We start from the raw sequence: 11,449 nt of genomic DNA, 5'->3' as shown, positions 1-11,449 counted from the left end.
TCCCCTGCTTCTCTTGAGAGTTCCTTCCTGCCCTTCTCTTGAGAGTTCTTCCTCAGTGATCACATCATGTGAGTACCTGTCTCAGGCTTTGCTTTTGGGGAGTCCACCTAAGAACACCCTCAATAGAGCAATGGGGTTCCTTAGTAAAACCTGCACTCCTTCACCCAGCACTAAAGGCCCTCTGTGGTCAGACCCAGAGCACCCAGTCTCCCCACCTTGTCCTCACGTCCCTCTTCCTTTGGTCTAGGTGCTGAGCACAGTAGATCATTGAACTGCATACTGAGATGGAAACTTGTTCCTCCACTTCTCACCTCCAGCCTTTGCTACGCTCTTCCTTCTGTCTGACCTTCCTCCTCTGCCTCCCTCATCCATGCACATCAAGAGTAGCAGGAATTTCAATTGCATTATTTCTGTCTCAGTTGAGGTCCCAAAGTCAGCAGGTGCCAACTAGTCCACAACCAAAGTGAGGTTAGAGACAACCCCAGCAGCACTTGCAAGGAAAGTGCCAAGAGCTGGGACTCCTTTGGACTATTCACTTCTAGGCCATAGAGAAGTTGGGAGGCTCTGGGGCTGGAGGTTCTGAAGAGAGAGGTATTGGTGAGCCGAGCCTCATCTCTCCCTGTGTGGAAGGTGAGATCTGCTGGCCGAGGATTTCTCATGGAGCATCTGGGGGCTGGTTGGGGTTGGCTTGTATTCTTTCCAAAGGGGTGGACCAGCAGGTGCTGAGATTGCAGGCAGATGAAATGACAGCTGGATAGAGCCACACCCATGTCCGGGACTGATGACAGGCGAGAACACTCAGCAAAGCATTGGGAGGGGCTGTCTCCAAAGAACTTGTGAAGGCCCCCATGAGAGGATGGGGCAGCGTTATCCACATGCCGAGCCCACAGAAAGCCTCGCTAGAATGTGTGACCGTACCAGGCAAGTAAAACCTTTCTTGCTCCATCTTTCCCTCATCCCAAACCTGGAGGGGCGGAAGTGGCCTGGTGGGTGGGAAAGGGGAAAAGAAGCTATGTAGGGGAAAGTGAAGAGAAGCAAGGAAAACATGTCCCTCCGCTCCCACAGCAGGAGGCTGGCGAGGTCAGCCCCCACCTGGGGTAGGCCGACAGGAAGACCTTTGAATTCATATGAAGGGGCCCCCTGGCAATAGGTAGACTGTATTTTTAAAAAAACAGACAAGCAGCTGGGCATGGTGGCTCACGCCTCTAATCCCAGCACTTTGGGAGGCCGAGGCAGGCAGATTACCTGAGGTCAGGAGTTCGAGACCAGCCTGATCAACATGGTGAAACCCCCTCTCTACTAAAAATACAAAAATTAGCCAGGCTTGGTGGCACACTACTGTAATCCCAGCTACTCGGGAGGCTGAGGCAGGAGAATTGCTTGAGCCCGGGAGACAGAGGTTGCAGTGAGCTGAGATCATGCCATTGCACTGCAGCCTGGCCAACAGAGCAAGATTCTGTCTCAAAAAAACAAAAACAAAAACAAAAACAGACAAGCTCTACCATGGAAAATTTGAAACATATCCCTGAGTAAAAAGAATCCTATCACGGACTGGTATATTCCAGGGCTCAGTGTCAATAGTAACCAGCACATGGCCGGTCTTGTTTCATCTGCACCCTACTTTTTCTCCTTCCTCTTCCCTTAATGGATTTTTTTTCTTACTTTTTTTTTTTTTTAAAGATGAGGTCTTGCTATGTTGCCCAGGCTGGTCTCCAACTCCTGGGTTTAAGCAGTCCTCCCACCTTGGCCTCCCATAGTGCTGGGATTACAGGCATGAGCCACCACACCCGGCCTAATGGATGTCTTAATTGCCAAATGAAATAGATTTTTTATTTTTTATTATTTTGAGACAGGGTCTCAGTCTGCTGCCCAGGCTGGCATGCAGTGTCACAGTCTTGGCTCACTGCTGCCTCAACCTCCCGGGCTTAAGCGATGCTCCCATCTCAGCCTCCTGAGTAGCTGGGACTACAGATGCGTGCCACCATGCCCAGCTAATTTTTGTATTTCTAGTAGAGACGGGGTAACGGGGTTTAACCATGTTCCTCAGGGTGGTCTCGAACTCCTCAGCTTAAGTGACCCTCCCACCTTGGCCTCCCAAAGTGCTGGGATTACCGGTGTAAGCCACTGTGCCTGGCCTGAAACAGAATTTTTTTTTTTTTTTTGAGTCTTGCTCTGTCACCCAGGCTGGAGTGCAGTGGCACGATCTTGGCTCACTGCAACCCCAGCCTCCAAGGTTCAAGCAATTCTCATATCTCAGCCTTGCTAGTAGCTGGGATCACAAGCATGTGCCACTATGCCCAGCTAACTTTTGCATTTTTAGGAGAGATGGGGTTTCACCATGTTGGCCAGGCTGGTCTCAAACTCCTGGCCTCAAGTGATCTGCCTGCCTTGGCCTCCCAAAGTGCTGGGATTACAGGCGTGAGCCACCATGCCTGGCCTGAAACAGATTTTTTAAATGCAAGCGAATAAAGGGTTTTTACTGCCTATGAGTAATTTTGTCTCTGTGTGGCCAAGGGATAGTGGCTTCTCCTCTCTGTGCTGTAGTTAATGCAAGATCATGATCCCTGTCCTTCTGACCCCACGTAAGAGGCTGGCCATGGACCAGCATCTTATGGTCTTGTGCCAGGTGGATGGGTGAGATGGTGATAATGACACTGATGATGACAATGACAGTTACCAGGATCAGAGAGTAAATGGATGGTATATGGGTGGCATGCCGTTGGTGTGGGTGGCATGTGAATATGACGTGTGCGTGTTGTGTTGGTGGTATGTGGGTAGAGTGTGGCTGACATGCTGTTGTGTGCTGGCATGCGGTTGGTATGTGGGTGTCAGCCAGTTTGCCTGGGCTCAGGGTGTGTAATGATTTACCTGATTTGCCTTCCCCTGTGCCTTCCCTCCCAGTGGCAGCCGACTGCATTTCATACATACCAAGGTTCTTATCACATCAAGAATTCATAATCATCCCAAAATATTCAATGGGGATATGAAATATTTACACATGAGGCGCCAGACGATGAAACGAGCCTGTCCCCAGACCCTGGCAGAAACCTCTCTCCTGCAGGGACAGGAATGAGGCTGGGAAGGGGCTGGGGCTATCCTTGCAGGTCCCCATCTCTTGGGTCTCTGCAGCACATACTGGGTATCCTTGTTTGGTGGGGGGCAATCAGATCTCCGGCCTCCTCCCTGCCGCTTGTGTGGCCTCCACTCCCTTACTCTCCCACATGGGCAAGATGCCTCTGCTTGGCAGGGCATGGGTGGGGGGAGCGGTGAGACAGGAACAAAGAGAGGGGCTTGACCTAGATCATAGAAACCCAGAATCTAGGAAATGGAAGCAATCTCAGAATTTATCCACACCTCTTTCCTCAAAATGCTGCAGGGATCCTTGTTTATCTGCTTGCTTAACTCCAACAACAGGGAGCTCACTCCCCTCATTTAATAGCTGGAGACTTGTGGTTAGGAAAGTCTCCCTCGTACTGCAGTGCCTACAGGCTCCACTTGCCAGCCCTCTTCAGCCCCTCTGAGGGGTCACCTTGTCCATCCCCCTGCCAGTCTGGGTCCTCAGTGTCTTGAGACCCCCAGGCCTGTCTGCTGCACGGGGAGACACCAGAACACAGATGGGCCCCTGAGCAGCCGTAATGGTCTTGTCTATTTAATTACCACGCAATTAGCCTAATGCATATTTAAACATTGCACCAGAGCTGCTCATCAATTATCCGCAGCCGGAGACAGACAGACAGACAAACATATAGTCAGCCTGCAGAGTCTGGAGGAAGAAGATTTTGTCAGTAACTTTTCAGGCCTCAGCACAATGGAGGGCTGTGCCATTGTTGAAAGTACTAACCTGCTTTCCTCCAGCTTCCGGGGTAGGAAAATGAGGCTCAGGCTTCTGTTTCCCCATTGCAGCTCCATCCCAACTTGGGCCAGCAGAATTGCTGTGGCTTCCTGCTGGTAATCTCAGCTCCCCAGGGATGCTGTCTCCCCCAGCAGGCTGGGAATCCTTTGAGGACACGAATCCTGTCTTCTCTTTCTTCCGTCTTTTCCCTACTCCACCTGAATCCAGCTAAGAACGATGATCCAGAACAGGAAGGGCATTGGACTGGGAGTCACTGAACACATGTGTAATGTTGACTGAGCCATGTCTTCTGGCAGAATGTGTTTTCACCAGAGTGGAGTGGAGACAACAGTGGCTTGCAAGCTCTGTGATCCATTTCGGCTCCCCCACAGCCTAGCTGAGTGACCTTGGGAAAATGTCTCAACCTCTCTGAGCTTCCATGACCTCAAATGCAAATGGTTCTACTAATATCTACCTTATGGGGTTGGTAGAGAATTAAATGAGTTAACACTGGGCCAGCACTTATACTTAAGACACAATGCTTTCCTCCCTCCCTCTCTCTGTTCTATCTGACTATTGAATTCACAGGTCTCTTCATGGACTCTGGCCACTTTGCTGGTGGCTGGGGAGATTTCCAGAGTGCACAGGACCCTTGTTGCCAGTGCTGGGTGGAGCCCCGAGTGGGGACAGCTCGGGAGACCTGGGGTTTGTGCTGAAAGGCGAGGTGCAGCCTTGGGTGGGTAAGGCCAGGCATTCCTGGTGGACACATCTTCCATGAGGATAAACTGGAATGCGACACTGATACTGTCAGACCCTGAGCAGCGGAACATGGAGGAGCCTAAATATTTCATGATCAAATTCATCAATAATGGAGACGGAGACTAAATTACATAACTGTCACCTTTCCGTTAAATAATATTTTCTGCAGGGGGCTGGGCGGGGCCATAAGGCCTTTATTGCAAGTCATGAATGATTTAGGCCAGCAAATAAAGGGGATCAGGAAGACAGAAAGAGACAGGGATTCTTCTAAGATCAGCTGACACATCACACGAGAATGGCTGGAGGGAATCTGCAAGGTGTGAGGGTCGCAAGGAAAGGGTACTGCGGATATTTACAGGGAGGTGCTGGGGGCTGGGTACACATCTTCCAGAGCTGGGAAGGTGATTAATAGACCGGCTCTGAGTCTCACTGTCACATTGTTCATTTTACATGGACACGAACAGAAAGAAGCTCAGAGACAACCAGAAAGCAGGGGCTACATCTCCCTATCAAATAGAAAGGAACTCTGTTATAGGGCCCAGTCTACCCCACCAGACCAAGGGCTTCCTGAGGGCAAGAGGTGTGTCTTCTTGGTCAGAGTTGAAGCCTCTATAGACAGGAACTGTGTTTTTCCCCATTACACTGGGGACTTCCAAAGCCAGGGCAGGGGCTGTACCATCTCTTACCGACCTGGGGCTTCCTGAGGGCAGGGCATGACCTGAGTGCAGGCACTTTGGAGTACAGGGATTCCTGCAGGCCGAGTGTCTGTCCTTCCAATCAGAGCGGGGCCCCTGCCGGCAGGGATGGTGTCTCCTGTGTTAGACTGCGGCCTTCCTCAGGTCTTGGCCTATGCCCTCTCCATCGGTGTTGGGAAGCCCTGAGGGCAGAGGCTGTGTCCCCCTACTCAGACTGGAAGCTCCAAGGAAAGTGCCTAAGTCCTTTCTCGCTTCTCCTTTGTGTGGTGGAGGAAGGAAGGGATGAGGGGAACTGGTGCTGGGTCTCAGCAGCCAGCCAGCCCTCCCCTCCCCAGAGAGGGAGCCTCGGTGGGCATGTGTGCAAACTCACCCTGCACCGTCAGCCCTCTGTGGGAAGGGTGAGGGTTGGGAGCGCTGTGCCCGCTAAGTGTATAATTACACAGTACTTGGGGTAATTTTCCTTTTCCTCAAGAAGCGCACGTTGGCCCTGATTTTCCTATCCGCAGATTGTAAGCTCGTAATTAGCAGCAAATTACCCACACGAGTGACAAATTTTTGTGCTTTCAAGTAAACAGACAAAATACCCACAGTTCATAAATTGCCTCTCGGTGCAGCAGGCACCTGGTTCCTGGAGATGCCCAGCCTGCCCACACGTGTCAGAGAAGGGGGCGGAGAGCCAGGGTGAGGGCCGAGGCTGCAGCCAGTGGGCTTACAGGTGGATCAGCTGGTCTCTAAAGTTGGAACTTCCTGCTTGCTGACCAGCACCCACAGATCAGAGCCTTTGGCCCAGGTCAGCTTCAAGGTCTCCGACATGGATGTGGAGTACTAGGGTGGCAGCACCAGCCTCGAGGATGAGAAATAGATCCCCATTCCCCTATCTGTGTCACTGAGGAGCTCATGGAAACTGGCTCTGCGTCTTCTCTCAGTCCACTTCTCTGGACACCAAATGCCTCTTACTTGCTTTTGAACGTGATTCTTAACTTTGTTTGAGTCATGGACCTTTTGGAAGCCTAGGGAAGTCTCAGAACCCCTTCTCAGTATGATATTTCAAATGCATAAAATAAAATAAAACACACAGGATTACAATGCGTTGAAACGCAGTTCTAGCCTCATGCCCAGGGTTGGAACCCTGCCCCAGAACAACTTCTTGCCCTAGTTCTAGCACTCAAAAGAAGCTTAAACTTCAGCATTGGGTAGATTTGGGTTCAAACCCTGACTCTGCCACTTTCTGGCTGTGTGACCCTGGGTGAGCCAGGTAACTTCTCTGAGCCTGTCTCCTCCTAGGAGAAATAGATAATAGCAGAGCCTGGCTGGACACAGCGGCTCGCATCTGCAATCCCAACACCTTGGGAGGCCAAGGCAGGCAGATTGTTTGAGGCCAGACATTTGAGACCAGCTTGGGAAAAATGGTGAAACCCCGTCTCTACAAAAAATACAAAAATTAGCCGGGCATGGTGGCATGCATGTGTAGTCCCAGCATGGGAGGAGGGAGGATCACTTAAGCTCGGGAGGTTGAGGCTGTGGTAAGCTGTGATCATGCTACTGCACTCCAGCCTGCACAACAGAGCAAGGCCACCCTGTCTCAAAAATAAATAAATAAATAAATAAATAAATAAATAAAAAGCCTCCCACATAGGACTATAAGGATTAAATGAGATAATGTATGTAAAATTTCTACCAGAGTCTCTAGCACATAGTAAGTTCTCAATGTTAAGTATTAATAACAATAATAATGTTCCAGGATTTTGGTGATTCAGTTCTTATTCTTCTTGCTCTTCCTCTTCGTGTTCATTCATGTCATTCCCCAACACACTCCCAGATTTGACGAGCACTAATTTAGTAAGAACTGATTTCCTGTGCTCCTGGATACACTCAAGTTCCCTAATCCCACCTGAAAACTACAGTGCTCCTACCCTCCTGGAGAGGGGACGCCTCGCTACCGGAGGCAAATAGGATCCAAAGCTTCCACTCTGCCACCCTTCCTGAGCTCAGCGAACTCACCACTAAAATGGGGTTAATAACACCTACTTCACCAGGCTGAAAAGGGTAATATTTGCAAAGTGCCCGGTAAAACATCTGGTATACCTGGTGGGCCACTGGAACTGTACCCATGATTAATGTTATTGTCCCTGGTAATCTGTTACTTTGGTGGCCCCCAATGAAGCACACCTTCCAGCATTCATGCCCTTGTGTACGCCTCTCTCACGTTGATTCTGGGCTGGCCTTGAGTGCTGCCTTAACCAATAGGACATGGCAGAGGTGATGCTGTGTCAATTCCTGGCCTAAGCCTTAAGAAGCCTGGCAGCCCTGGTGTGATGAAGCTGGCTTGTACCAGCTTGTAAGAGCTGATAGTTAAATTTTCTCGAATTTTATGAGCATATTAACATCAAGTTGGTAACTTTAAATTAGTACTGGCAGAAATATTTACACCACAGAGACTGGCAAATACTACACATCAGGGATCTTTCCTTCCTTTTTATTTTCTTTGTTGTAAAGTCAGATACCAGCACCCCATTGCCTGGTAACTTTCACTTTAGAACTCTGGTGAGCTCTGAACCACGACCTAAGATGCTCTGCTATTTTTTAGGAAAGACTACCCATGGAAAATCCCAGTGGAGGGGAAGAAGACCTGAGACTGCATGGAGGAGAACCAGGGAACCCAGATACATGACCCAGTAGAGCCATTCCAACCACCCATCTGTGAATGAAGAAATCATGAACTTCCAGCTCCAGGAGACGTCACATGGATCCAAGATGATCTGTCCCTACTGTAACCTGTCAGAATTCTTGAATCACAGAATTCTGATCAAACAAAACACTTACTGTTTTAAACCATTACGTTTTGGGGTGCTTTACATGTGGCATAGATAATCGAGCCATCTATCCCTGAGGCGTAGAACCAGGTGGCCCCACGTCTCCTGTGATGGTCTCTTCATTCTGTGACTTCTATCACTTTCTGCATTATGTGGGTTCCAGGAAGCCCAAAAGAGAGGTTCCCCAGCTCTCTTCACCTCAACTGGGGCAGACTTCCTTGCCCCTGAGCCACCCTGATCTTCTAGGGATCCCAGGAAGTGTCCCTGCCCACACACCTCCCCCATCCCATCTTTGCAGACAGGGAGACATGGAGTGAGAGATTCTTCTGGGGAGACTGGTGTGGAGCTGAGAGAGGAACAGAGCCCCCCTCCCTTCCCTGTTGACATTTGAAAAGGACAAAATTGGAAGGAAGGTAAATGCTACTCTTCTCTTCTCCCAGGGAAGGAGGTGGCAGACACCCAGCGTTCTGTTTGCTTCAAGTTTAGCAAGGGTACTGGAGTGCTAGGCACCTGGTCGCACCCTGACGGGGTGGCTGCTGGTGGGCTTGGCATCCTCCAACCGAGGTTGCCTGGGCTGGTGTCTGGCAGAACTGCCCTCCCTATCTATCCAGTGCCCCTGTGCCTGGGTGAATCCAGTGGTCCCAACCACAGGGGATTCCACAAGTCTGCACAGTGTTTCCAAATTTCTGAGACTAATTTGGGGGTTTGGGGAATGAGAAACTGGAATCACTAAAAATTCTTGGGAACTTTTGAAATCATATGTTATTCTGTATTTCTCATAACACTTTATTTTACACATTTTATTTTATTTTCTCTTATTTTATTTTATCTTTGAGATGGAGTCTCACTCTGTTGCCCAGGCTGGAGTGCAGTCGTGCGATCTTGGCTCACTGCAGCCTCCACCTCCCAGGTTCAAGCAATTCTCCTGCCTCAGCCTCTCAAGTAGCTGGGACTACAGGTGCACACCACCATACCCAGCTAATTTTGTATTTTTAGTAGAGAAGGGGTTTCTGTTGGCCAGGCTGGTCTCAAACTCCTGACCTCCAGTGATCCACCCACCTCGGCCTCCCAAAGTGCTGGGATTACAGATATGAATCACCTCACCCGGCCCATTTTACACATTTTAAATAATGATGATTATTATCATTATTAATGACTGTGGGCCAAACATGGCAGCTCACGCCTGTAATCTCAGTGCTTTCAGAGGTCAAGGTGAGAGGATCACTTGAGCCCGGGAGTTTGAGATCAGCCTGAGCAACAGCAAGATGTTGTCTCTAAAAAATTTTTAAATTACCCAGGTGTGTTGGTGCATACCTGTGGTCCCACCTACTTGAGAGGCTGAGGCAGGAGGATCACTTGAGCCCAGGAGTTTGAGGCTACAGTAAGCCATGATTGTGCCACTTGCTTTCCGGCCTGGGTGACAGAATGAAACTGTGTCTTGAAAAAATAAATAAATAAATAAACAAAATGATTGTAAATAATGAGTGACTGTAAATAATAAATAGTAAATCATTTTTCTGTGATAGGGTTATGTTAAAAGTTTCAAAGGTCTTTTGTTTATGAAAAAGATATATTAAATGCATGAATTATTATTTCTATGAACCAATATATTTTGACAAGATTATATATTTTAATAACATGCAAATTTGCTCCCTACCTGATGTAGATAATTCATAAGCGAAAACATTAAAATAAGGGAACATTAACACAAAATTAATGCCAAATAAAAATCATTAAAAAATTGAAAGCTAACACAAATATTTAATATTAAAATTTTTTCATCTTAAATGAAAATTATATTTTACTTTTTTTTTTTGAGACAGGATCTCTCTCTGTCACCCAGAGGGAGTGTGGTGGCATGATCTCTGCTTACTGCAACCTCCCCATCCTGGGCTCAAGCCATCCTCCCACCTCACCCTCCCCAGTAGCTGGGACTACCGGTATGCACGATCATGCCCAGCTAATTTTTGTATGTTTTCTAGAGACGGGGTTTCACCATGTTGCCCAGGCTGGTCTCAAACTCCTGAACTCAAGCAACCTTCCTCCCTCGGCTTCCCAAAGTGCTGGGATTACGGGCATGAGCCACCTCACCCAGCCTAAAAATGAAAAGTTTAAAACACACAAAGCAATAATTAACCTAACAGCCTTTTTAAAAAGTTTTTATTTTATTTTATTTTTAGAGACAAGGTCTCACTTTGTTGCCCAGGCTGGGGTGCAGTGGCACAATCATAGCTCACTGCCGTCTCGAATTCCCTGGCTCAAGTGATCCTCTTGCCTCAGCCTCCTGAGTAGCTGGGACTGCAGGCGTGGGCCACCATACCCAGCTAAGATTTTAGCCTGACACTCTTGATCTTTGTTTTGTAACAAATATCCCAGATATAGAAAAAAATATTGTGTGTTGATATGGGTTGAATCATTAAGCATGTGTCTAAACGCATCTTCAATTTGGGTGTTAGAGCATGCTATATGTTATATGCTTCAAATAAGCTCATTTATTTATCTTTTAACAATGAAAGTACTTTGCTTTCCCTGATTTTCTTTTTGTCACTGAAATAGATATTGCTTTTATTCGTTCAGACTTTAGATCAGTTTCCGATTTTGTGTCTGAGAATTCTACCACATTCCTATCTTCTTCTCTTTGCATTTCTGCCATAGCAAATATTCAAATGCTGGAAAAGGGCAGTGACCGTGACTGCACAGTATTTGAAGAATGTAATATTCAGATCTCCTAGCAAGGTTAACAGTAAGTACTACATGTATTACAATTGCCAACTTAAGGGCTTATTTTGCTTCCAAAACTTATTTCTTGAAACATTGCTCACAGGATTGGTATTAAGTATACTGCGCTTATAACTTATTAATATTTATTTTATTTGTAAGAATGACTCACCATTGGCAGCAGACAGGGCCACAAACATGCACTGATATGAGGGCAACAGCTCCCAGTCAGGAAGACTGACTGATTAGATGGTGACATTCTTGCCTATGAACTCCTGTCCTAGCTCCCAGAGATGTTGACCTTAACCTTCAACTCCATGTATCAGGGTTTCTGGCTCTTGCTTTCAACTTGACATCAGTTGATTCCTTTGAACAAATAACATCTCTATGTTGATTATGAAGCTCTAATTCTCACAAAAGAATTATAATACTTTTTCCCATTTTTCAGATTGCTTGACTAACTTTTCTGGGGATTTTCCTCAGAAATGCTGCATTGTAACACGCGGTCTATAGCATGACTGAAGGGAGGTGTTCTTCATCCAAAGAGTGTGAACTCTTGACATGCCTGTTCTAGACAGGATGGGATGCTGCTGCCCAGGGTTGGAGAGGTCACTAAAGAGAGAGTTGGGCTC

At 47.7% G+C, this 11,449-nt stretch overlaps 1 annotated feature.

Annotated features, from left to right (window-relative positions):
* Positions 414 to 914: an enhancer, noted in NCBI's record as "H3K4me1 hESC enhancer chr6:37695835-37696335 (GRCh37/hg19 assembly coordinates)". NCBI's record gives its function as "activates a minimal SCP1, AML or CMV promoter by ChIP-STARR-seq in primed H9 embryonic stem cells {active_cell/tissue: H9 hESC(primed)}" and the evidence as "EXISTENCE:reporter gene assay evidence [ECO:0000049][PMID:30033119]".

This window comes from Homo sapiens, chromosome 6 (genome assembly GCF_000001405.40).
Source record: "Homo sapiens chromosome 6, GRCh38.p14 Primary Assembly".
Taxonomy (NCBI): Eukaryota; Metazoa; Chordata; class Mammalia; order Primates; family Hominidae; genus Homo; species Homo sapiens.
This window is presented reverse-complemented; position numbering and strand designations above follow the sequence as displayed.